This window comes from Homo sapiens, chromosome 13, assembly GCF_000001405.40.
Source record: "Homo sapiens chromosome 13, GRCh38.p14 Primary Assembly".
Classification (NCBI taxonomy): domain Eukaryota; kingdom Metazoa; phylum Chordata; class Mammalia; order Primates; family Hominidae; genus Homo; species Homo sapiens.
This window is the reverse complement of record NC_000013.11, coordinates 32,199,159-32,226,765: the sequence shown is the minus strand read 5'-3', so window position 1 is coordinate 32,226,765 and position 27,607 is coordinate 32,199,159. Positions and strand designations below refer to the sequence as shown.

The window sequence follows — 27,607 nt, the reverse complement described above, 5'->3', positions numbered from 1 at the left end:
GATAAATAAAAGGTGCACCCTTTTCACAGTAATGCAGAAAGCACACAGTGACATGTGAAATGTCGCACCACAGCTGGCGCCAATGCAATGTGTAAAATGAATAGGTAAAAAAAAAATTAGTCCCTGAACTCTGTTAGTTGGTAATCTTCATCATCATTTTAAGATATTTTAAACGTTCTGGTTCTAAATGAAAACCACTATTACCCGTTTTCATGAATGGCGTGACATGGCAGAGTAATTTCTTTGTCTCAGTTAATGCCATCTGTTCCTATTTCTAAGAATTTTTTTTGGTTTCAAAACAGCAATGGCTTTTAACAGGCTCCCACTAATGGTGTCTTCAAGGAAAAGGTCAATCATTCAAAAGTGAAAATTCCTTCATGGGCACTAGAAGGCACACAAGTGATACATCCGGCACCTTGGCTGTGACCTGCTCTCAGGCAGTAGCAAGGGTCACTATTTTGTGTGTTCTCATCCTTCGGTGTTCTAGACTGCTGCTCCTGGCCAATGGGCACTTACATTTCCAATGCATCAGGAGGAACATATTCAATGGGGCAGCAATCATATATATAACCAGGAAAAATATATTTCAAATATTCAATAATAAAGAAAGCTTTTGAGAGGCAAGTTCACATCAAGTGAAATGGTGTGTATTTATTGTACTGTTGATTTACCACGTGGAAAGTTGGAGGTCATAGCATGAGAGAAGTTAACTTGGGCTCCACTGGCACCCGCAGTTAGTTATCTCTGCATTTGTAACTGTCCTAGGCTCTCTACCAGTCCTTCTCTGTTACCTGTATAGAGATATTCAGGTTGGTAGGCTGGCTGCACGGTTAGAGTCTTAGCTTCACCCATCTCTCGGGTCTGCAGGAGCACGGAAGCAATGGAATGGAAATTGCTGTTGCAAGAGAGGGCAATCAAGAGGTGAAGAAGCAGTTTTTTGCTGTGTTCAAAGACTTCAGGCCGGTAGTGGTCTAAACCTGGAACAAAACAGTAGAATCTAAGTATAAACAAACGTTAAGCTCGTTTAGATTCCAGGGATAGTAAAGATTCCAGGATACTCAGGAGGAACATGTTAAAAGAATGTTTAGTTTTCTTTGTTATTGTTTGGGTTACCAACATACAGGAGTTGGGCTTAGGAAAAATAAAATGCTTTATTTCTTAAGTAAAATGTTCTCATAAAATGCTGATAGATGAACTTTTCTTGACCTCTCTGTAGCATTTGATGTGGTTAGCATTCCTTCTTCTTGAGATGTTCTCCTCCTTGGATATCCCTGTTACTGAAAGATTCTAATTTTATTAGTCTCTTTCTTACTGAATTTCTGAGTTTCCCTGGCTGGTTCCCCTTCCCATTTTTGCTCTACAAAGCTCAGGGCTTGGCCCACTCCGTCCTATATCCTTTCTTTTTATACGCTGACTATGCCTCATAGCTTAAAATTTACCATTTCAGCCGAAGACTCTCAAAAAGGCCCAACTTATTTTGGATATATTTGTAGATGTGGCACTAGTGAGAAACCACTGTATTTACATGGTAGAAATAGAGCAATTTCAAACAGTGACCAAGTAGCTGACATTTCAGAGCAGATGTCACAAAAGGGCAATGAAAAATGGTGGAGATAGAATATTCCCGAAATGAGTCAAACAGGATGTCAATGTGAAAGGAAATCTCTACGGATTACTTCTGTATATTTTTAACCCGATTGGCTAGAATGCCTTTTAGATCCAGTCTTACCTAAGAAGACAGCATGAAGTAATAATGGTAGATGAAGCGCCCAGTCTTCTCGTACACTGTGATCCACCACCATTTCAGTCATAAAAATTACAGCAATATTGCACCTAATCAATGAAATAATGAAATTAATGCAACTTCTGAAGGGGATGGAAATACTAGTAGATCATTAAGTTACAGTACAATATAACTCTTAAGTGTTTTTAAAACATTATATAAGGCTCTTATTCGGGGGAAATAGAGTTTAACTTGTAACACAGCATAGAGCTCCACAACAATAAGAAACATTGGTTGAGCTAATCACATAAAGGAGAGTCTACTAGCCACTAGGCAATAAGAGCTAAGGGATGAAGAGAAATCAAAGACAAGGTCCCTCTCATCAAGTTGCTTACAGTCTAAAAAGCATCACAGAATGCATGCCCATATCCAGATTACATCAAGGAGAAATTCAAAGGTCACAGGCAGCTTTGAATGTTGATTAACATTTGACCAAACTCTGCTAATATGCTGGAAGCTGACAGTCAAATCAGGCAGGATCCCACTGATTGATAAGATAATTTAATGTGGTGGGACCTGGACTAGGTTTTTCTCTTGTCATAGGTAGAAAAGTCCAGTCAAAGCTAAGATTTCCTTCTCCCCACACATGCTGCTCACCTGTGGAGTGGCCCCCGGGGAGTGATGGTCTCCGGGAGATAGTCAACCAGGGGGGCCCAGCATCCTCCAGTACAAGGCATCGGTAAGGGCTGCGGCTGCTTGGTCTCTGTAATAGTCAGCAACCAGCCCGTGTAGGGAGAAATTGGATCATCTGGAGGGTGAGAAAGACAACTGTGCTTTATTTTCAGGGAGAGGAGACTTGTTTTCTCTACTTGATGTTTTCAGAATAAATTTTAAAAATGTATGCTTGTAAAAATAACTTTATTTTTCATTTTTAAATTTTTTTTAGGGACAGGGTCTCGCTGGCACCCAGGCTGGAGTGCATTGGATTGATCAAAACTCACTGCAGGGCTGGTTACAGTGGCTCATGCCTGTAATCCCAGCACTTTGGGAGGCTGAGGTGGGTGGATCACCTGAGGTCAGGAGTTCAAAACCAGCCTGGCCAACATGGCAAAACCCCACCTCTACTAAAAATACACACACACACAAAATAGCCAGGCATGATGGCACGTGCCTGTAATCCCAGCTACTTGGGAGGATGAGGCAGGAGAATCGCTTGAATCTGGGAGGTGGAGGCTGCAGTGGACCGAGATCATGCCACTGCACTCCAGTCTGGGCGACAGAGTGAGACTCTGTTTGAAAAACAAAAACAAGTCACTGCAGCTTCAAATTCTGGGGCTCAAGAGATCCTCCTGTCTTAGCCTCCCAAGTAGCTAGGACTATAGGCATGTGCCACCACAGCTGGCTAATTAAAAAATTATTATTATTATTTTAAATAGATGGGGTCTCAACATGTTGTTCATGCTGGTCTCGAACTCCTGGACTCAAGTGATCCTCCCACCTTGGCCTCCCAAAGTTTTGGGATTACAGGTGTGAGTGCCTGGCCAGAAATAACTTTCTAATGATTTCATTTGGTGAGTATGAATTACATGATCAAATGGGTGAGAATTACTTGTTTGGGTAACTACTTGCATAGTTATTACTTGGTAACTAATTTATAATTATTCATTATAAAGCAAAGCAGAATACAGATATACGAAAAGAAAAACATTAAATCGTGTTGAATTCCCATCTCTATGAAAATTTGCTTTTCCTCCAGTCTTCCTCATCTCAATAAAGCACAGTTTGGCCTGGTCGCGGTAGCTCACCCCTGTAATCCTAGCACTTTGGAAGGCCAAGGCGGGTAGATCACTTGAGGTCAGGAGTTCGAGACCAGCCTGGCCAATATGGTGAAACCCCATCTCTACTAAAAATACAAAAAATTAGCTAGGGGTGGTGGTACACGCCTGTAATAATCCCAGCTACACAGGAGGCTGAGGCAGGATAATCGTTTGAACCCAGGATGTGGAGGTTGCAGTGAGCCGAGATCATGCCACTGCACTCCAGCCTGGCTGACAGAGCAAGACTCTGTCTCAAAAAAAAAGCACAATTTCATATTTCCAGTTTGCTCAGGACAAGAGACTTAAAGTCATCCCCGACTTTCCCCTCATATCCCATACCCAAATAATAATCACAGTGATGATGACGATAACAACAATAATAAAAATCATAACATTAGGAACTAGCACAGAGGGCTTACTTGATGCCAGGCACTGGCCTATGCATTTCACATATTAATGGCCCAATGATAGGTATCTATTTTATCCCCATTTTGTAGAGAAGAAAGTGAGGTTCAGTAACTTGTCATCCACATATTCAGAGAGCTCTGCCCTCAAAACATCTCCAGAATCTGAGCACTGTTCTCCATCTTCACCACTACTTCTAGACTAAGCCACCATCCTCTCTTGCATGGGCCACTGCAATGGCCTCCTTAACTGTCTCACTGCTTCCATCCTTGTCCTGCAGTCTTCCTCATCTCAATAAAGCACAGTTTTGGCTGGTCGCGGTAGCTCACCTCTGTAATCCCAGCACTTTGGGAGGCCATGGCGGGTAGATCACTTGAGGTCTGTGTTCCACAGAGCAGACAGACCAATTCTTGTAAAACAAGTTCAGTAGTGTCTCTTTCTCTGCTCAACACCCTCCAGCGGCTCTCCACAAATCCACACCCGTGGCCTTTAAGGCCTTACAAGGTCTTCCCCCTCCATGTTCCTCTCCTGGCTTATCTCCTACCAGCGCACCCTTGCTCACCCCACTCCTAGCTTCCTTGCTGTTCTGTGATCAGGCTGGGCCCCATACAGCCTCAGGGCCCTTGTATCTGCTGCTCCCTATGGCTAGGATGCTCATCTGCAGACAGTTGCATGGCTCACTTCTTTGCTTCATTCAAGTCTCTGCCCTAATATCACCTTATTACAGCAGCTTTCCTTGACTACTCTATGTAAATTGACCCCCAACCCCAATCACTTTCTACCCTGCTCGCTCTGCTTTAGTCCCTCCCCCTCCACCCATGGATCACCAATTCACCAGCACCACCTCCCTCCCCAACTCTAATGTAAGCTCCAGGAGAGTGGGGACTTCTTCTGTTCTGTTCATTGTTTTCTCCCTACTACCTACAATGGTGCCTGGCACATGGTAAAGCATCAATAAATATTTGTTGAATGAATGAACGTCACAATATTATCTTTAAAGTAAGTACAGGCCAGGCGCAGTGGCTCATGCCTGTAATCCCAGCATTTTGGAAGGCCCAGGCGGGTGGATCACTTGAAGGCAGGAGTTCAAGACCAGTGTGGCCAGCATGGTGAAACCCTGTCTCTACTAAAAATACAAAAATTAGCTAGGTGTGGTGGCACACACCTGTAGTCCTAGCTACTAGGGTGGCTGACGCAGCAGAATTGCTTGCACCCCAGAGGTAGAGGCTGCAGTGAGCCAAGATCGTGACATTGCACTATAGCCTGGGCTATGGGTGAGACCCTGTCTCAAAAACAATAATAAAAATAAAATAAAATAAGTACAGCAACACTTTCCATGTTTATTTCTTATCATGCTCCCAAAGCAGGCCAGCAGCATTTAAGAAGAGCAATACAGGTGGGCACAGGATTTAACCCAGGTATTTGGCTGCAGACCAGCTGGTTTATTCTTGGGATCAGTTTATGTATTAAGAGGAAGAACATACTATGTCGTCTTTAGGCAATTTTATAATAACATAATTTTTCTTTCCTTCACTTCTGCAAGGTAGTGTGAAGTCATTGGTTTGATGCTGCTGGTCCAGTGTAGAATGCTGGCCTTAACATTTACAGAGCTGGTGGAGGGGTGTCTTCCTGTTGTGACAACTGAGGCTCTGAAGGAGGACAGGCATCAGAAAACCAGAACCAAGAACATCCCACTTTTCATGGGATGTGGCTAAGAGGGTTTCAGTGGAAAAGGTCAGGACTTCCCTCAGGAAGAGTGACTACTGGCTTTTTCTAATACACTGACAAGTGAGCAGCCAGAACCCTATAATTCTATGCCATGAAGCTTGGCCACAACAATTTTAGCCTGGAAAAAATTTAAAGCAGATGCACTAGTAACTCATCTCAGTTCTAACTCTCAGCAAATTACCTACAAGTAACTTACTTGCAACAAATTAACTTCTCAGATAATCATCCAGGATAAGTCAGTTGCCAAATGTACTGCTAGGTAACTAGCTACTCTTCAATAAAACTTGAAAGGGAAACAAAAAGGGAGAATATTGAAGAATTAAAAAGTAAATTGTGAGATTTCTGTTAGGAAGGGATATGTTATTCTTTGTTTCAGTGATGTTTTCAGATATATATCCAATCAGCCAAAATGTGCTGAGAGGAATTAAGGTGGCCTAAACTTAAATTTTTCTGTCCTCAAACTTTGGGTTACCAGATATTGCCACAGTAACCAGACTTTTCTTGAACCAACTCTCCATTTCTCAAGTACTACTTTCCTCATCTCTAAAATCTGGTGCCTTCTAGAAGTAACGGCCTATGGTACTGAGATTTGACTATTCAGTGTTTGGATGGTACAATCCCCTGAGGGGACACACAAAGGAAGGAAAACACAAACAGCTTTATTTTACTTCCTATTGACAGCTCTAGTGAAGGTTTTATAGGGACATAGCTGAAACTTAACCTACATTAGAGCATGATAATTACATATGGATTCTAGACACGCCTTCCATTAGTATTTTAATGGTAGAGAACTGCCTGTCTGTGCATTCAGAAGTAGAACAAGGGTAGCTGAAATGTGGCCTTATTGGAACTACCTAGTTCTTACCTGACATTGCACATTTCTGTAAAAACAAAACAATTCAAAACAACAATTCAAAGCACCAACTTACGAAATGAACTTAACTCATGAAATGTCAGTATATTTACAATTTCTGACAAAAAAGAATAAATCCCACAAGATACTGATTCCCTTAGCAAATCTGAAATGTCACTGGGAGCGTTCTTTGGTTTCAGAATTTCTGTAACTTGTGACCAATTAATACTCTGTATCTGCTCAATATCTACAGAAGCTGTCCAGGGCTTAAACAAAATCAGTAAATGCACTGACCTTTTTGGTTTTCCCAACTACCAGAAGAAATTCCTGTCACAAAGCTAACTCCCAGGTTAGCAAGGCTTTCAATAGGCTATGGAGACTATGCCATTGAGAAATTCAACATAGGAACAGATCCTATCCTGAGTGAGCAGCATTTCAAAGCTTCAAGGTTAAACCCACTCGCAAGATAGGTGGAAATGTTGAACCGCCAACATTTGTTTTCGCCCAGGCTACAGTGCAGTGGCGCGATCTCGGCTCACTGCAAGCTCTGCCTCCTGGGTTCACGCCATTCTCCTGCCTCAGCCTCCCGAGTAGCTGGGACTACAGGCGCCCGCCACCATGCCCGGCTAATTTTTTGTATTTTTTAGTAGAGATGGGGTTTCACCGTGTTAGCCAGGATGGTCTCAATCTCCTGACCTCGTGATCCACCCGCCTCGGCCTCCCAAAGTGCTGGGATTACAGGCGTGAGCCACCGCGCCCAGCCAACAACATGTGTTTTCTAATGGGACTATGACTTAGTGTATTTTCCCCAGCTGCATCACCAAGAAAAAATGTCAAGAATATAAAAACACGGCCGGGCGCGGTGGCTCACGCCTGTAATCCCAGCACTTTGGGAGGCCGAGGCGGGCGGATCATGAGGTCAGGAGATCGAGACCATCCTGGTTAACACGGTGAAATCCCGTCTCTACTAAAAAATACAAAAAATTAGCTGGGCGTGGTGGTGGGTGCCTGTAGTCCCAGCTACTCACGAGGCTGAGGCAGGAACATGACTTGAACCCAGAAGGCGGAGCTTGCAGTGAGCTGAGATGGTGCCACTGCACTCCAGCCTGGGCGACAAAGCGAGACTCCGTCTCAAAAAAAAAAAAAAGTATATATATATGTATATATATAGAAACACAGGAGTGGATGGTAGTTTGAATTTTTATAATTTTGATTTGTCCATGGTTTTTTCTTTTTTTTTTAACTTTTGAGGATGCTGACTCTATGCTCATCTGCATAGGTGGATTAAATGGTTACTTAATATCTATAGGCCCTTTTAGTAATCAGACCAAGAACAATCAGAACACTCATTTTCCATCCTCTGACCACTTGCGTTCCGTCTGAAAGCCCACAGCCTGTTGGTACTTACTTTTATCTTCATCGTAGGATCCTCCAGAGCTATTGCTGTATCTTGACTCGAGGCGAGTGTGGGCTCTGATGACATTACTAAACCTTCAAATACAAGAACAACCAGAATGAAATATTAACATGTGTGCATATGCGCTTTTTTTTTTTTTTTTTTTGAGTTGGAGTCTCACTCTGTCACCAGGCTGCACTACCGTGGTGCGATCTTGGCTCACTGCAATCTCCGCCTTCCAGGTTCAAGCAATTCTCCTGCCTTGGCCTCCCAAGTAGCTGGGATTACAGGTGTGCACCACCACACCCAGCTAATTTTTGTATTTTTAGTAGAGACAGGGTTTCACCATGTTAGCCAGGCTGGTCTCGATCTCCTGACCTCGTGATCCGCCCGCTTCGGCCTCCCAGAGTGCTGAGATTACAGGCGTGAGCAACTGTGCCCAGCCTACGCTCTTACTCATAAACTGACACTATGATTTAGCAGTTGGTTTTTCAGCTGCTAGTTGCCAATGGTGCTTTTCTTAAAGGAATGCTGTAAAAATTGTACCCCAAACATTTCTTGTTTCCTTGAGAGGGTCAGTGGTCACTCTTGCTCATAAGCACAAGTCCAAACCTTGAAAAGATAAAAATTTTAAGCCTAATATTTCAACTGAACTAGAAAATGGTAACATTTGCTTTGGAAAGAAAATGGGCATGATACTGAATAACATGATTCCCTTATTTACATAGCCTGACACACAGTAGGTGGTCAATAAATATTTCCTGAATGATTAAACAACTCAAAGTACATAGAATGGGAAATACACAAAAATAGCTTTATAATAAATCTTGGACTTTACCCAGAATTAAAGTTTCTCTTAAAATAGTTTGAGAGTGTTCAGGGAAAGGTCCTAGTTGGGGAGTAATGTCACCAGAAAGACTCTCTGGTCTGGCCTCTCTTGTGGCTTGTTAAGAAGTAACCCCCACCAAAAACAAACAAAACAAAAACAAAAACAAAACAACAACAACAAAGAAAATAAAAATGTTGAAGTATAGTTAATTCATAGACATCATCTTATTTAATCTTGCTCACTCATCTTTGAGATAAGCATTATTTATTCTACAATGAGGAAACTGAGGGGAGGCGAAGTTATACACCTTGTCTAGTGTTGACCGCAGGGAGGTGGCAGTGCAGGAGGCCTTCAGTGCCATGCCAACTCCCTGCGTGGAGCTTTAAGGCTGAGCTCTCTCTCACTGGCTCTGTAACCATGGCCAAGGCCTCTACCTCCCTGGGGAACTTATTTCCACAATTGCAAAAAGGGCATCATAATAATACTCTGTCTTTTATTTAATTAGGGTTATTTGGGGGAACAAAAGAAAGGATGTTTGAGAGTGTTTCCAAAACTGCAAGACACTGTCGGACTATAAGGTATTAGTTATTATGCTTCTATCTAGGATTTCTAGAAAGAAATCAATAGCATATTTCTCAAACAGAGGACTACAAGGTAGGGCAAGGGTGTGGTTCAGGGGCAGTGTGGGCAAAATGGTATGTCTATATTTATTTTATATAAAATGATACACAGCAGGTTTTATCAACTTAATATATATGTAGCCAAAACAAAGAACTAAGGCTATCTAGAAATACCTGGAAAACTCAAGCCAAAATAGGTGTGTCCCTCTACATTACTCACCGGGTATTCTGACTTAACTCATAACAGATCAATACTCTATTTCTTTTGGGGACACTGGAAGGTGCAGGGCTATTGCTGTCCTTACTAATGTGTGGAGAAAGAGTAACGTTTCAGCAAAAACTCCTGGATGTACCATTAAGATGCCCATCTTGTCCCAGGTGTACAACCTTAGGGCACTGCATCAGTGATTTGGATTTGCTGAATTACAGAAATGTACTGTAATGAGCTTGGTTTCATTCACTTTTTAGATATTTGCAACAACATTTCCCCCATCCTGACAGCTATCTTTTCCCCAGTAACTTCATACCTCAAACCTTCTTCACTGTTATATCTTTTGGGCATTTGTGAATCTATAAGAACAGAATATCTAAGACATTGGCTTAGTTTCATACAAATCGGCCAACTAAATCAGACTGGTATTTATGAAAATAAACTGGAAAAAGGACAAACTTATTACCTTCTGAAGAAGTTCTTTAATCATATTTATGCTGATAAATGCAAAGTGATAAACAGCATCTGCTAGGCCCAGACATCATTCAGAAAGGAACAAAAGCAGGGTGATGAAAAAATGGCACATCTGCAGGTTTCCGTCGGGTGGAGAGCGCCACAGCACTTCCAGCTACCATGAACTGTGCTCTATGTCGGGTTTTAAATTGTGCCCTGGAGGGCCTGCACCCGGAAGAACTACAGGATGGATGACAACTCATCTCTTTTCCCTTTTGAGTTGGATTTAAAGGGGTGCTGGGTGGAGTTTATGAGGCTGGAATAAAGGGGAGGAGCAAGTCCCTTCCAGACTGTTCTCCTTGTTCTGGAGAAGACTGAAGCCACAGTGTAGCAAAGTGTATGTCTGGCAAGGAAAAAGTAAAAAACTGACTCCCAACTGTAAAATCTGTTATTTTCCTTTGCTTTTCTGGGTTGAAGAAGCTTATTTTGGGTCTGGTCCCTCAAAGAATTTCAAGGATTAAGTAGAATCTTTGATGTCTTTTAACATCAAAGGTACATACCTTAAGAAATACCTCATGAAAATAGCTCTGATAAGAGAAAAATTAGAAGGATGAAATGTTCCCCTCAGTTTTACCTTGTTGATTTAGCTCAAATTAATAATACTTAGATAACTGATAGTTAATATATATTTGTGTATATCAACACTATCAATTTAGATAGAAATTATCTCTGTTTCAACATAGACCGTTCAAAATTTATACAGGTGAGGTTTACTACTTTAGCTTTCTATGAAAAATCCCTTTGTGGGCATATAAATTTATAAAAATCTTTTATTAAGATTGATATATTGAAAATACTTATGGCTGGATGCAGTCACTCATACCTGTAATCCCAGCACTTTGGGAGGCTGAGGTGGGAGGATCAGTTGAGCCCAGGAGTTTGAGACCAGCCTGGGCAACATAGTGAAACTCCGTCTCTACAAGAAATAAAAAAATGAGCTAGGTGTGGTGACACATGTCTGTATTCCTAGTCACCTGGGAGGCTGAGGCAGGAGGACTGCTTGAGCCTGGGAGGCTGAGCCCGCAGTAAGCTGTGATTTTGTGCACTTCAGCCTAGGTGACAGAATGAGACCCTGTCTGAAAAACAAAAACAAAAACTTATGAAGATTTTTTCTGCATACTTTAAAAATTGCTATAAACTACTCTTTTAATAAATATATGTTGATTTTGATGCCTAGTAAAATAAACTATATGAAAAATCTTAGACTTAGGTGTACTTTCTGTTACATTTTCTGATAGTTTTTAAAAATTTTTATTAATACACAATAGATGTACATTTTTCAGGGTAGATGTGATCATTTGATACAGGCATTTAATGTGTAAATATCAAATCAGGGTAATTGGGATATCCATCATCTTAAATATTTATTTTTTCTTTATGCTAGGAACATTCAAATTATTTTCTTCTAGCTATTTTGAAATGTTTCATAGATTACTGTTAACTTGAATAGCTTTTTTTTAAAAAAATTGAATGTTATAAAATTTGCTTTATTTTTCTTTTCTTACTTTGGCTACTGGGGCCTCAAGGTTAGGTTAATGTTAAGTTGTAGTTTTCCTTAGTCAGGAATTAAGACACCAACTGTCTTACCCTCCCATTAGCTTGGCACATATTCTTTTACTCTTGTTTTAATGTTCTTTCACTTAAGCTATAAGGTTTGTTTGTGCTTTTGTCAGTAGGAACGGCATTATTAAATATTACTGAGTCACATCAAAGAACCATTAATCTAGTTGTAAAGAACATGGTGCCAAGGCGGTCATTTTGTCCAACTCCATGGTGCTTCCCTCAGCCCATGGATATGGTGCTTCCCTCACAATGGATATGGTGGAAGAGATGCCTCACTCCTGAGGTGTGTTAACACAGCAGCCTGGGGTGGTGTTTCTGAACAACACTGTCTCTGTAGGCTCTTTGCCTATAAGGACTGTAAAGAAAGGAGTAAATTGCTGTCCTCCAAGATGGGTTACTGAAAGGGTAAGGGAAAGCGGACTGGTGGTGGTTGGACAGCTTATCCACCTCTGGGGATATGACATTTCTCCTATTTCCATTCACTTACCAAATAAACACTTTAAAATGCCTACTATGCACAGCACAGTAGACTAATCACTGAGGATAGAAATATGTGTAAGACGCGGGTGTCCAATCTTTTGGCTTCCCTGGGCCACACTGGAAGAAGAACTGTCTACACTAACACAATAGCTGATGAGCTAAAAAAAATAAATAAAATCACACACACTCAAAATCTCATAATCTTTTAAGAAAATTTATGAATTTGTGTTGGGCCACATTCAAAGCTGTCCTGGGCCGCATGTGGCCTGTGGGCCGCAGGTTGGACAAGCTTGGTGTAAGAGATACGCAGTCTCTCTGTGTTCTCTAGGAATTAAAATCTGGTGGTTAAGTGTGTCTGTAAGCACCCATATATCAACATGACAGGGATTACAAGGAAGGAAGGGTGATAAGTAGACTGAGGAGAAAAAAGGATTTTAGGCTGAGGGCACAGCCTACTTTCATAGAAAAAAAAGAATACAGTAGACAAATAGTGTAGGTGCTATATGGGATCAACGGAATAGTGGTGTCCATTGGGAGAGCATATTCATAGACATATGTTTGCACATATATGTGAATATGATCAATCAATGTTATAGGTAGATAAATATCAGTATAAAAGAATCTGACATGTATGAATATGTGTGATATATATGGGTAGATAATTGCATCAGGCTTTCCAATGACCAGCAGAGATATGGTGACAGAGCAGGAGTAAGAGCTAAACAAGAAAATCTCTCTTGAAGATGTTCTGTGATCTTGATATTAGAGAGATTACTGGCTTCTTAAGTTCAAAGGCACCACTAAAACCTCTAGGCAGGACACTCAGAACTCTGGCCCTAAACAGGCCTTTGTAATGAGATGGTAATACATGGAGATCTATCATCTTTCTACCTCAAATAAAATTCAGACAGGAAACTCAGACAAAACAATAAATGATCAAGAATGTTATAGTCTAGTGAGAAAGTAAAAATATCTTTAGAGAAATACTGTGACTTTTATCATGAGGTAGTTTTCCAAAGAAGGTAATATTAATAGCAAATATAGATTTTAAAAAGTAACATGCTAATTAATAATCTTGTACCTTCACTAATATGTGGAATATAAAAACCTTTATTCATTCCTGAGAAAGAAATAAAAGGCTTTATTAGAGAACTTCAAAGGACAAGGTCTATAATTCGTGATCTGCTGGGTTTGGGCTTTTAGTCTGAAGGGAAGCCCGTATGGATGAGCATCTGCCTGAAGGTAACACAGCTGCCCAGTGATGCAGTGAGGAATCTGGCTGGTGCCTGAATTAGGGAAGGAGCCTTCAGAGCCCCAAGGGCAGGCAGCCCTGTGCCAGGTCATCTCCACGCCAGCCCCTACTGTGCCCCAATACACATGATGAAATCCTCAGGATGCTCAGGAAGCACTGTGGGCTTACTGGGGCATTTTGGGCTAAGTGAGTTATTTTCACCACTGGATCCCCTAAATTACCTTTAATATGAATTCATGAGCATCTCATCCTTTTTACTAATTTCTTAAGTAAAAGGGCTCCCTCATTACCTTTCACTATAAAATGCTCAGCTGAAGCACCGTGAGGATCATCCTAATTTTCATTTTTTTTAAATTGAGTTTTGTTTTTCTCTCCTGGTTTGTCTCCCTGCTCTTCACAATCAACTGCAGGAAAGAGTGACTCTGATTTGACTACTGATGAGTAGTTCATAGGCAAGGCAATAAGAAGGCTGAGATATAGGGGAAATATTATTATTAAAGAGCTAATGTGGAGGGAACGGAGACTTTTTTAGCAGGAAAAGATAGTGTTTTGGTTAACCAAGACAGCACAAAGCAAAAGTAAAATAATAATAATCATGTTTCATAGAACTCATCTCAAGATGACTACTCTATCCCTAAGAAATTATTCAACTATCAGATTCGAAAATTTCACATGGCAATTCTAATTCCAGATGGTCTGTGTCCATTAGCAGAACAACTCATGGTTTTTACTAAGCCCTGAGGTATGCGAAATTCCACCACCACCAGAACAACACCCTTCTTAATCTTTCTCTTCTCTGACTTTGCACAGAAATAACTGTTATCTTTAGGGATATACTGAGTAGAGTTGGAAAGTAAGTCTGAGTTTCTAAAAACAAAGAAGGATTTTTATGTACGTGTAAAATTTATGAAACTCCACAAACCTGTATTGATGTCTATGTATAGATTATTGCAGAACATTACACTGGATATTAAGTCAAATTTGTGTACCAACCTTTCATCAGATTCTTTCAATATCTTGTTCTCCTCAGCATCTGGGAAATTTTCCTGGCCAGCAACCACTGTATTGCTGCTAGAGGTGGTTCCTGTAGATGGGAATGGAAGAAAAACACTTATAAAAAGATGCAAGCTGAGGGGTCAAGCTCAAGTCTCAAGTAATTCCAGGGAAAGATTTCCTGTAAATTCTTATGTTTGGAAGATTTTTTACATCTTCTGCACAATCTCAGACATTCTAAACAATCTTCCAAGCCCACACCACTGAAATGAGAGAATCGTAGACATCTGTTATGGTCAAACCAAATTCCTTAACTCTCGTAAAGCAAGCCTACATTCTTGAAACCTCTTCTTCCTGGCCACTTAGGCAATGAGCTTATTTATAGTGGCTGGCCCTGCTGTTGGCTGCTTTAGTATTTCTGGGTCCAGGAGTTACTAAACTAATGCTAGTGAAGTAAGGCCAAGCACCTAGCACTTCTGATTGCTGTGCTACTGCTTCCCTGTAAGAACACTGCTCTGGTGGCAGGGTGTAGGGCGAACAGAGGAGACAGTAGACTCAGGGAGGAGAGGAATTGGAAGGCAGTTACTGCATGAGGTCAGCAGAAGGGAGGCAGACTTCAAGGAATTTGAGGAGGATGGCATATATTTCATGAAAGGTTGCTGAGACACCAATTAACCAAAAGTGATAATACTTTTGGGGGGAATTTTAATCAACGCTGAAGGAATATAGCCAAGGGAGGGTCCAGATACAAGAAGGGGGATCCAGAAATGAGATTCCTGAGTGACTGCAATGTCCTGGCTGGGATCGGCTGAAATACAAAGTTCTGTGATGGAGGATGCTTGAGCCACAGATTCTCAGTCATCTTTACAAGATCATTTCATTAACCCTATGATCCCTAAGAAACTCAGTTATTCTCTTTTTTTTGAGATACAGTCTTGCTCTGTCGCCCAAGCTGGAGTATAGTGGTGCAATCTTGGCTCACTGCCACCTCTGCCTCGTGGGTTCAAGTGATTCTCCTCCTGCAGCCTCCTGAGGAGCTGGGAGTACTGGCGCGTGCCACCACATCCGGCTAAGTTTTTGTATTTTTAGTAGAGACGGGGTTTTGTCACGTTGGCCAGGCTGGTCTTGAACTCCTGACTTCAGCCTCAGCCTCCCAAAGTGCTGGGATTACAGGCGTGAGTCACCACGCCCAGCCCATGTCTCAGTTATTCTTAAGCCATCTCTTAACTGAATGCACACACAGGAATAAGAAAAAAGTAACAAACACATTCTCATATCCTTTCAGGAATCTACATGAAGGAAACCCCAGGGATCTGTGACCAGGTGTCTGCCCGGTTGCTCTTCTTACCTGAGGCTGCTGCGGAAGCCTTGCTACTGGCCGTGAAGCGGTAGAAGGGCGGGTTGTCACAATGCTGGACGATGGGGTTCACGGGCTCTGTCTGCTGCAGCTCAAAGAGAAGCTCTTCCATGGTTTGAATGGTGTTGTTACGGCACAAGTATATTGCCACTTTTTTAATCTGAGAAGGAAAAAAGAAAACAAGGGATGTTTCACAGAGCCTAGTCCACAGGAACACTAGGCCAGTAAACCTCTCATTTAGATAAGTTGTCATCATGCAGGAGCTGTCACCGTGATAGCTAATCTTTGTGCTATCCTAGGATGGACCAAGGACTTGGATTAAAATTCACCTCTCTTCATCGGCACGTCTGATAACAGTGTGTTCTTAAAGCCCTTACCTTTTCTAATGGCTAAGTTTTTAAAAGTTACTTTTGAGGTACGTGAATTCTATCTAAACTGAAAACTTGCCATCAAAGTTCTCATCTTCAGAAATAATTTTATTTATACAAACCCTGGGGAAAAACTGCTAGTTATTTTTGTTTAAAAAGGAATCCAGTCCCCTGCTATTCTCTTCTCCCCAAGAAACAAATGAGTTTTAGCTGTTTTTATGGTTTTAAATTTTAAAAATAACTCTGGATTAAAGCTCCACATTATTGCAGGCCTCATAGTCCAACCTGAGCCCTGCAAGCTGCAGTGAGGCTTATGTGGACTCAAGGCAGCAGGAAGACATAAACCTGTCACAAAAACAACCAGCACAGAAATGCCAATTGAGTTTGGGTTTTAAAAATGCTGTCATTCTGTTGATCCTATCACTTTTAAATACCAACTGTAAATATCAGACATTTCAGAAGGATTTCTCCATGCTTACTTCTCTCTTCTACCACTTGAATTTGAAGAGAAAAACCTGCATACTCTGCTTTCTTATTCTGTTTCAAGAGCATCAAGATGTAAACATGAAACATTCTTATTAGTAATAATACAACACTTTACTTAGTGTCTCTTACATAGTAGGTCCAATGTTTATAGAAGGCAGCTTTCAGTAACTGCTAGAAAAATATCCACCTGCTATATCAATAGGTTTCTGCGTCCCAAGGCTCAGAGTAAGGAGATGACAGAGGCATCACTAGCACACATAGCCTGTGTCTAGGGGGCAGAAGGGAACTTTTATGTAATATCTGGATGAGCTCACAGGAGATTCATGTGACTAACTGGACATTTCTATTTTAGCTGGAGCAAAGAGCACATTCTGACTTGCAAATTGCACATGGGAGTCCCTGCAGGAATAATCACTCTTGAAGGGCTGAGAGACACTTACATAGGGTAGGAGAACTGTGTCGCTGCTGACCCCACAGAGGCTAATCAGGAACTGCAAGGTGATCCTCAGGTTGTTGCTCCATTTCTCATTGTTGGCTAAAGCATTCCAAGCATTTTCCATTTCTGGCCCAGGAACTTCATCTCCATACTATAACAAAATAAAAACCGGCCCAAGAGATGTGTGAAAACTGTAAGGACGCAAAAGGTTTGACTGAAAGTAGTTTTGAGGGTCATGACCGTCTCAAAATCATAAGAAGGGGTAAACATGACCATTTATCAGAAAGATGCCATCTTTCAGTAAACAGTAGTTAATAATGCACAAATCAATCATGCATAATACCTATTCATGTGAGTTTTTTAAATATTAGGCTTATTTTTATTTTTATTATCATTCTTAAAATTGCTGTAAAATACGCATAACATAAAGTTTACCATCACCACTATTTGTAAGTGTACAGCCTGTGGCATTAAGTCCATTCATATTTCTGTGCAACCATCACCACTATTTATCCCCAGTCATGTGATTTTTAAAGGAATCCCATTTTCCCCGGGGTTTGACTAACCCAGGGTTTTTTTCTGATGATGGAGCCATGCTATTTGAAGCACAATTCCTCTGAGTTTACCTTGGCCGTCATGTACATGAGGTTGTTCAGGACCAGTGACGTGGCTTCTGGAGAGCCCCAGCCATTTCCTCTCAGCCCGTGAGAAGCAGTCACGTCACCTTCCCGGTCCTTGACTTCGTCCTCTGGGCTGCTGGGGCTCGACCCCGGGAGGAGGAGCCTGCTGTCCACCAGCTCGATGTTGTGCAGCCAGGGCAGCAGGTAGGTAAGCATGATCTGGCGCCCGTTGGGGTGTGTTGTGGGGAATCGCTGGCTTACCTCTAAAGAGAATTGCAGTGACAGAGAGTCATCCATACCTTATTCCACCAAAATAAATGGAAATTCAAATGCCAACTTGCAGACTGAACAGTGTCCTACGTTTACAAAACATTTTCACATACAGGAGCTCCCCAAGGCCACAGAATGATAAAACCAAGGCTTGTCTGCAAGCTTGTTGCTCCACATCTGGTGCGCTGTGCAGGAAAGTGTATAGCACTGTGGGGCAAGCACAGGCTTGGTAAAAGTGGAGTGAGTTCAAATCCACTGCTAGCGGAAGATGTATATCAGAGGGTGGACAAAATAAGGGACTTGGAGTTAGAAGGGCATGTGTTCAGATTCCAGATCCACCACATACTAGTGGCATGTGACTCTGGGCTAGTTACTTAACATCTCTGCTCCTCAGTTCCCTTGTCGGTAAAATGGGACTGATAGGGCCCCACATCAGGCTACTGTAATGACTAAAAGATATAATCATAATGAATGCAATGTGCTCAGCACAGTGCCTATCATCCATCAGGCTTTTATAAATTGTGGTTAGGATCAGGCTAACACCAATGATTACCTTTCCACTGACCCAGTGTCTTACAAAGTGTCTTCCATGAAACATTGGCTGTTAAAAAGTGACATGCGGATCTCTAGGAAGAATAAACCCACTTTGCAGAGTCGTCTTGAAAACTGCTAAGCATGTGGAAGGTGCCTGCCAAGGGCTGTGTGTCCCCTGTGAGACACGTGAGTCCAAACAGTGAAGCCCTAGGTCTGGTCCAGTTATTTCACCATTACTTTCTCTCAGAGCATTTTGGCATTGTTTCACTGCCAGCAGCATTTAATTTTATAATCCAAATAAACTTTCTAAGATAGAGAAGCACAGCATTATGTATATGCAGTAGGCTCCGATGTAATCTCCTATCTCTCATATCTAGAGAAGAAGGTATTTTATCCTCAGGGAAATTAGAAAGCTTGGTCTCATACAGGTGTTATGATCCAGTGTGGCAATGCAATCTCGCTTAGAGGGCTCATGGCTGCTAAATAATAGAACACAGATGCCAGGAATTATACCAAGATAATCCACGGGATCTTCTGAAACAGCAGCTTTAATCAATTTGGCCCTTTTCCTAAAATTAAAATTATAATTTTTTATTTTGGAGACCATAATGTTATATCACAATAATCAGACAGTGCTAAGCTATTATGTTTCATATAGGTCAAAATTTCAAAATTTACTTGATTTCTACATTTATGGATGTGACTGATGTATGTGACTGTTATGTCACATACTCAAATCCTTATAAAGTCAGAACATTCATTTGTCCCAAGGTACGGGGCATTTTCTAGGTGCAAGCCACTGTGCTAGACATGACAAAGACAGCAAAGACTGACAAATGATGCAGTTCCTGCCCCTAAGAAAGAGACTCAGACAAATTATGTTGACAAATCACTCTGGGGCAAGGGAAACAGTGACAAATGAAATCAGAAAGGCACAAACAGAGTGCTTTGGGGGTTCGGTGGTGGAAAATGACTTCTGGGTGCAAAGACTCAGAATAGTTTTATGGTGGGAGAACTATTTAAACTCCACTAGAAGGATCTGGACTTTAAGATGGGGGAAAAAATCCCAAAAACAAATAAAAGAGAGAGCAGTTATTCAAAAGACCTATCTTTTGACAATGGTATAAAAATCTATGGACTTTTCGGAGCAAAGACTTATGCATTACATAATTTGCTTGTTTATTATGTTAATTGCATTTTGTCTGACAGATAATAGCACCAAGAGGGTAGGGATGTATGCCTGAGGTATCCCAAGCACCCAGGTAGCTCCTGGACAGTCAAGGGTAGTTCCCTTTTTAAAAGGGAACAAGAAAAGAAAAATGCCATAGACATGCAAATAGCCCTCTATTCACTGCTCCAGAAATATTTTAAATAAAATGTGAGACCACATCAGTGGGATGCTCTTGTTCAGTGGACCTGAACAATTTGTCTGGCCGTTTACAATAATTAGGTCACTTGAAATTACAGGCAATAAAAATTTCACCACAGGGTTTATATTAAAAACAAGTGTTTGGAATCTATTATAACCTCCTAATTTTTCTGTGTTATTTTTAAAAAGTAATTTCCCCTAAGCTAAAACAGCCAAAAGGTAATTCTTCAAGGAAATGTAGGTTGAACCTGCTTGCAACTCATAGGAGCCTCTGATCTGGTTAAACTTGCTGGACTGTTTCTCTCTTCTCTCCTGAACTGTGAACCACTCCCACTTTACTAGCATCTCCCTCTCAGCTAATAAACATGCTCCAATATCGCTCATCCTTAAAACTCCTCCTCTGACTCTGCACCCCACTGGAGGGCCAGCCTCTCTTTCTACATTCTTTCTCAGCCAGGCCACTGTGATCTGGCTTCTGCCACTACCTCCCTGCAGAAACTACTGACAGTTACCAATGAATCTCGAAACTCAAGAGAGTCATGTTCAGGTCTTCTCTTCTGGGATCTCTCTACTGCATCGGAGGCTGTGCACTGCTCACTCTCTCCTTCTAAATCTCTTTTTCCTTTATGTTTCCATGAAACCCTTCTCCTGAGTGTTCTCCCTCCATTCCTTCTCACCCTTCTGCTCTTCCTCGGACCAGTCTGCAAAAGTGGGGGTGTCCAGGCCCTTTCTTCCACTCTGTGCTCTCTCCATTCCTGATCTCATCCATGCCCGTGGCTCTAATCCCTTCCATCCTTCTGTGAGTTGCTAGCACTGACCTCCCTCAGTTCAGGCTCATCCATACAGGAGGAAGTCCAGCAGAGGCATACACTCAACATCCTGGGCTGGGCTCCTGATCTCTGCCTTGCACCAAACCTTCCCCTCTCCCTGTATTGGGTTTCTAGGAGGGTTATCATCACTGACCTCCCTGATATCACAGTAGGCATTCTCTTCTGTGCCTCTGCTTGGCAGCTTTTCGCTCTGGTTTCTCCCCTCCAGTCTCATTGGGCTGTCTTTGTTCAGGCCCTTATCATTTATTATTTCCTCCTTGGACTATTGCCATTGTTTCTTAACTATCCTCCTCTCTCCAGACTGGATGTTCACTAATCCACCCTCCACACTGCAACCAGGCTTTTAAAAATGCATTCTAATCTTGATACTCCCTCTTCTCGTTTGCAACTCATCAGTGGCTTTCAAAACCCCAGCAGCTTGCTTGGATGCTCTCTCTGTTTACAGAGCTCTGAAGGGGGATTCAAAAAGCACATATGGAAGATTGCTGGCCTACAAACCTTGTAGTGTACACAAGGCCTTCCAAGATAATGATTTTGGCCTCTGCATCTGCCCACGACCATCTCTAGCTTTTCCTGTTCCTGCACGTTATGTTACCTAAACTGACCTCTATATAATCCCCCAATTACATCATGCTAGTTTATAACTCTAAGCTGATGCATATGCAATGGTCTCTTGCTCTGTAATGTCTATCAACTACTTGTCTGCTATGCAAATTTCTACTCCTTTCAAACTACAGCTTAGACATCAACTTCTCTCTGGGAATTCTTTTCTGATATTCCTGGCCCAATAATTGATTAGTCCTTCAGCTACTGTCTAATACATTGAGCATTTTTCTTTTTTAAAAAATTGCATTTGCTATACTGTATCAAAATCATTTGATCGCACACCTTTTTTTTTTTTTTTTTTTTTGAGACAGAGTCTCGCTCTGTCGCTCAGGCTGGAGTGCAGTAGCACAATCTCGGCTAACTGCAACCTCTGCTTCTTGGGTTCAAGTAATTTTTGTGCCTCAGCCTCCTGAGTAGCTGGGACTACAGGCATGTGCCACCATGCCCAGCTAATTTTTGTATTTTTAGTAGAGACAGGGTTTCGCCATGTTGGCCAGGCTGGTCTCGAACTCCTGGCCTCAAGTGGTCCACCTGCCTCAGCCTCCCAGGGTGCTGGGATACAGGCATAAGCCACTGTGCTTGGCTTGATTGCATATCTATCTTTTCTGCTAGACTATGAACGTTTGATGGGAGAGACTTTTATTTCCCTCTGTATTTCTGAAACCCAAGCACAGTGCCTAGCATGTAGGCAGCAAACAAATCTTGGGTGAAGTGCATAAAAATAAATTTTAGTTTTGCAAGAAGAGAATTAATTTACTAAAAAGGCTTTTATTGGGTCTCTCCACTGTTTCTGGTATTACACAAAGAAGTGACTAACTCTGCCTCAGGTATATGGAGAGGTCTGCACAGTTGAGGTGGATGTTAAGTTAGATCTTCTGGAAAGTTGAAGTTAGGAAGAAGGGGTGAGGGCCATTCAACAGCATGTACAGAAGCAAAGATTTACAAGAGGACCTGGAATGTTGGTCAAAGATTCAGTAGGACTGGAGTAGAGGATTCTTGAATGAAAAGGTAGAAAGCAAGTTTAGAAAAGGAGCTTTTTTTCCCCTGCCCCTTGGCTGAGTTCTAATTTTATAGCAATGGCTTTGGAGGAAGACAGATCTAGATTTAATTCTGACTTGGTTGCTTCCTAGCTATATGGTCTCGAGCAAATTATTTAACATCTCTAAACCTTAGTTTCTCATCTCATCTGTAAAACAATGATGATGGTGGTGGTGGTAGTTGTGATAATTCCATGCCAGGACTGGGCCAGCTGCTTGGTTTTCATTAGATCACTTTAATCTTCACATCCTATGGGGTAGTCATTACTATTACAGATAAGGAATGTAATTTAGAGGTTCTGTGACTTGCCCACAGTCAAACAACTAGTGAAAGGTTGCCTGACTCCAAAGCCTCTGTTCTAACCACTGTACTATACCAGGGTTTATAAATATTAAGTGATAAATGCAATGCACATAAAGTACCTAGCATGGAGGCTGGTACCTACTATCCACTCACTAAATGTAGGCTGTTATCAGCTATTTTTAGGACAACTGGGCAGAGAAGTTTGAGTTAAGAAGTGCTGGACATATTTGGCTTTGCATAGTGGATGGACTGCCACATGGAAGATAAACTGTAGTTAGGTAATGCAGAGGCAGGGAAGGACTGAGGAAGATCTGGACAAAGCAGTGGTGAGGTGGTGATAGAGATGGAAAAACAGGATGAATTCAAGAGGCCAAAGTCTGTCTCTTGGCAAAGTGCTACGTAAGCTTAGGCAAGAAGTTAGGTGACAAATGCATTTTTTTTTTGAGACAGAGTCTCACTCTGTTGCCTAGGCTGGAGTGGAATGGCATGATCTCGGCTCACTGCAATCGCTGCCTCCCGGGTTCAAGTGATTCTCCTACCTCAGCCTCCTGAGTAGCTGGGACTAGAGGCGTGGGCCACCATGCCCAGCTAATTTTTGTCTTTTTTGTAGAGATGGGGTTTCACCATGTTAGCCAGGCTGGTCTCAAACTCCTGACCTCAGGTGATTAGCCCTCCTCGGTCTCCAGTGTTGGGATTACGGGTGTGAGCCACCACGCCCGGCCTGACAAATGCAATTCTTTAGCAATTCTGCATTACCTAACTGCAGTTTATCCTCCATGTGGCAGTCCATCCACTATGCAAAGCCAAATTCACAAAAACTATTTATGAAGATTGTAAAGAATATGCAAAAATTCAAACTTTCAACAACTTACATATGTAGCAAAATACAAGCTACAAAACACCACCACTATCACAACCACCAAACAACTTGCAGCAATTATATGTGTTATAAATTACACTGTTCATATTTAGCTTTTGTGGGATATTAGTTTCTTTGGGAAATTTATATATATAATGTATGCAGAAGTTAGTATTATTAATCTAAGCACCTTGCATTTGTCATATGTATGTTTATGCCTACACTGCTTTAGATAAAGAAATTTTTTTCATTTAACAATTATAGAATTTACTTTCATATGTAACTGGATCTAGCCCACAGTAATTCTGACCTACAAACTTAGCATCACTAATTATCACTCTAAGATTTTTTTTTTTTTTTGAGACTGTCTCACTCTGTTGCCCAGGTTGGGGTACGGTGGCGCAATCTCGGCTCACTGCAAACTCTGCCTCCTGGGTTCAAGCGATTCTCCTGCCTAGCCTCCTAAGTAGCTGGGATTACAGGCACACACCACCAGACCTGGCTAATTTTTGTATTTTTAGTAGTGACAGGGTTTCACCATGTTGGCCAGGCTGGTCTCAAACTCCTGATTCAAGTGATCTGCCTGCCTTGGCCTCCCAAAGTGCTGGGATTACAGGAATGCGTGGCATCGTGCCTGGTCATAACTCTAAAATTAAACTAGAATTTAAAAAGAAAAATTACTTAGAGCAAAGAAATGATCACATGTCATTATTAGAAATGATCACATACGTCATTATTAGAAATGATCACATATGTCATTATTGACTATTGCCTGGTACCTGAGAAGAGGGGGAGTGTGAGCTCAGGGTACATCCTGGCCAGCTCACATGACAAGAGGGCAAGTGACACGCTGTAGAGGGGTGGCAGCGGGCCGTGTGTTCCATAGAGAATACTTCCCGGTCTTTGCTCAGCGACTTTCTTTGAGTATACAAAAAGCTTTGCTTCAAGGATCTATAAAGATGTAGGAAAGTAAAAAAGTAGTATGAAAAGCATTAGCTGGATATCTCATGAGCATTTGTATTTAACAAAGGTTAGAAGTAACAAAATTAATTAATTCCCATTTAAAAATAGAATTAAAGGTAAAACATCAGTTTAATTAGTATGTTTACAAAAGATTATATAGTTACTTTCTCACTCTTCATAGCCACAAATGATATGCAGAAATAAACAAAGGCCTATCAATAAACAGCTATTAGGTAATCAACTACCATTTCTATTTTCTGTACTCAAGGATGGATATTTTCTATGCCAGTAAATGATACGTGCCTGCATGAGCTGCATGGAGATTTCATAAATCTCTCTGTTGGTGTCAGAGGCCTTGAATAGAACAAGGTTTAACAATGTCACTATGTCGAAGGGATAGTTCCTAAAAACACAACAGAACAAAACAAAAAAAGCATGGTTTATAAGACAGAGTGGCTAGATTGTTACCTCTTAAAATTCTAGCTGGCATGCTGACCTCGGTCACTTATTAGTGACATTCTTACCCCCGTCTGGCCATTTTTTGCTTCCTTCTTTTGCTATTTATCAGTAGATAAAGGAAAATGACTTTATTTTGGTTTAAAATTAAATACTGGGACACCAGGATAAAAGAACACAAAAGTCTATCTGATGCATAAATACTGGGACACCAGGATAAAAGAACACAAAAGTCTATCTGATGCAAACGGACTTTAATGACTTTAATGCAAACCAACAAGTGAAAAAGACAGAAAAGGATACATGTACTAAATTTCTCAATAGCTCACCAAATCAATATTTTCATTTGATTCTTCTAAATTTATTAAGTGCCAAACAACTATCAGGAACAACATACAAAGTACCAATGATACAAAGATAGCAAGGCTGGTCCCAGTCCTTAAGGAGGGCTTACAGTTTAGTCATGGAGACAACCTGTACAGTCTAGTTCTGATGAGTGTTGTTGGAACATCCACAGCATGCTACGAGAATCCTGATGAGGGACACCTACATTAGATGGGGGGTAGAGAAGTCTTTTCTGAAGAGGAAACAAGTAAAATGGGTCTTGAAGCACCAGGTGACATTAGCCAGGTCACGGAAGGGGTAGTACAGGAGTGTTCCAGATAGAGAGGACAGCATTTTGAAAGATTACAAGAATGAAACAGCAAGATATCTATTGTAAAAGGGAAGAATCTTTGTGTAGTAGACTGAATAAAATAAGTAGAGGAACAGAAGGAAGCGAGGCTAGGCCAGTAGGTGGGTTCAGAAGATGACCAGCCTATGGACTTCACCCTAAAGTTTCAGAGAAGCACTACAGGATTTGCCCTGGGGAGGGGGGCCACGGCATTCACTTTTGAAGAATCACTCTGGCTGCTGTGTGGAGAATGGATTGTATGGGGCCAAGAGTGGAAGCTATTACAAGAATGCAAATGGGAACTGATGAGGGCTGGAATTAGGGCAGAAACAGTAGAGACAGAAGGAAGGGAGAGATCTGAGGAACACTAAGGAGATAAAATCATCAGGATTTGGTAACTGACAGCATGTGTGGGATGGGGGGAGAGGAACACAGAATAGATTATGTGGCAATTGGCAGTATAACCATATAGAATAGAGAGATTAAATCCATTTTTTTCTTGCTATGTAATTCTATTTAAAGATGTTATCTTTTCACCATATGTATTTTCTTAGATTATAGTGGAAAAGAAGTCGTAAGTAGAAAACTCCTGGTGAGTTGAACTTTTTCTTCTCTCTCTTTTTTATTTTTGAGACAAGGTCTCACTGTTGCCCAGGCTGGAGTGCAGTGGCATGATCATGGCTCACTGCTGTCTTCACCTCCTGGGCTCAGGTGATCCTCCCAACTGGGCCTTCCAAAGTGTTGGGATTACAGGTGTGAACAACTGCACCTGGTTGAGTTGAACTATTAAACGGTTTATATGTAGAAGGTGAGTTACTGCTATTTATTTTCAAACAAACTTCAGGAAGAAAAAGATAGTTTGAAGGTGAAAAAACATATTAGTTGTTTTTCCTTGGGAATCTTTTTTTTGATTCTACATAATTACATTATCTAAGAAGTTCTGTTTTAGAACAATCACTGCTTTGGTTTGAATGTTTGCCCCACCAGAACTCATGCTGAAATTTAATCCCCATTGTGGCAGTATTGAGAACGGGGGCCTTTAAGTAGTGACTGGGTCATGAGACTGCCCTCATGAATGGATTAATCTATTCATGGATTAATGGATTGATACATATCATAGGAGTGGGGCCAGTAGCTTTATAAGAGGAGGAAGAGAAGCTAGCATGTTCAACTCTCCTGCCATGTGAAGCCCTGAGCCATCTCAGGACTCTGTAGAGAGTCCCCATCAGCAAGAAGGCCCTCACCAGATGAGGCCCCTTGACTGTGGACTTAGTCTCTATAACTGCAAGGAATAAATTGCTTTCTCTATAAATTATCCAGTTCCAGGCATTCTGTTATAGGCAACAGAAAACAGAATGAGACAATCACCTTTCTAGAAAGGCATGTCCTACTATGAATACATCCCATTTTACATTAAGTTCAGTGAGAAATTATACACATGAAAAAGTTTTTCTACTTTTAACATTACTCAAATATTAATTTTTATGACATGAATATATTTTTCTTCTAAAAGATTCAAGCAACACATAGGGCTACAGGGTCCGCCCTGAAGATGGTTCACTCACAGGGCTGCAAGTTGGTGTTGCTTGCAGGTAGGTGAATAGAATAAAATGTAGAAGTATCTCATGTCCTTTCATTCTCCCAATTGTTAATCTTATCCAAGAGGCAATTACTGTCAACATTTTGATATTTCAGCTGTCTTCCAAGTCTATATACAGACATTTGCATCAAAATACTCCTTCAATGCACAGGGTTTTAAACATAAATGTGATTACACCACCTGTCTGTACTGCTTGATGATCTGCTTTTTCACTGAACTATAAGGCTCACTTCAGTCTTCCTAATAGCTGCCACATATTCCATTCTAGGAACATATCATAAACAACTACTCTTGTAATGCGTACTGTGGTGTGCCACCTAGATCCTTCTTTCAGGATGGAGGCACTCAATCCTCCAGCTGAATCCTTGATCTGAAGCCTTCTCTGGGAACTGCCTTCAGCCAGAGGTTTGCCTAGGTCAAGGTCATATCTGTTCCCCAGCAGCAGCCCCAGTGGGA

The 27,607-nt window shown here is 41.3% G+C and overlaps 1 protein-coding gene across 6 annotated transcripts in view, besides 2 other annotated features; it reads right to left on the bottom strand.

Annotated features, from left to right (window-relative positions):
- FRY (FRY microtubule binding protein) overlaps positions 1-27,607 on the bottom strand; it is a 267,352-nt gene that overhangs the window by 72,360 nt on the left and 167,385 nt on the right. For all 6 annotated transcript variants that reach the window (XM_047429999.1, NM_001411012.1, XM_047430000.1 and 3 more), the window contains 10 exons: positions 24,726-24,825; positions 24,239-24,410; positions 17,657-17,913; positions 17,035-17,181; positions 15,732-15,900; positions 14,384-14,474; positions 7,935-8,017; positions 2,381-2,531; positions 1,730-1,833; positions 792-977 (listed from right to left, as the gene is read on the bottom strand). In XM_047429999.1, coding sequence (XP_047285955.1) covers positions 792-977; positions 1,730-1,833; positions 2,381-2,531; positions 7,935-8,017; positions 14,384-14,474; positions 15,732-15,900; positions 17,035-17,181; positions 17,657-17,913; positions 24,239-24,410; positions 24,726-24,825 — 1,460 coding nt within the window. The remainder of the gene's footprint in view (positions 1-791; positions 978-1,729; positions 1,834-2,380; positions 2,532-7,934; positions 8,018-14,383; positions 14,475-15,731; positions 15,901-17,034; positions 17,182-17,656; positions 17,914-24,238; positions 24,411-24,725; positions 24,826-27,607) is intronic.
- Positions 15,427-16,626: an enhancer, noted in NCBI's record as "BRD4-independent group 4 enhancer chr13:32784277-32785476 (GRCh37/hg19 assembly coordinates)". NCBI's record gives its function as "activates an origin of replication core promoter dependent on BRD2, P300/CBP, MED14 and CDK7 cofactors, and independent of BRD4, by STARR-seq in HCT116 cells {active_cell/tissue: HCT116}" and the evidence as "EXISTENCE:reporter gene assay evidence [ECO:0000049][PMID:35650434]".
- Positions 20,740-21,034: a silencer, noted in NCBI's record as "tiled region #7321; K562 Repressive non-DNase unmatched - State 22:ReprW". NCBI's record gives its function as "represses a minimal TATA promoter and a strong SV40 promoter by Sharpr-MPRA in K562 cells {active_cell/tissue: K562}" and the evidence as "EXISTENCE:reporter gene assay evidence [ECO:0000049][PMID:27701403]".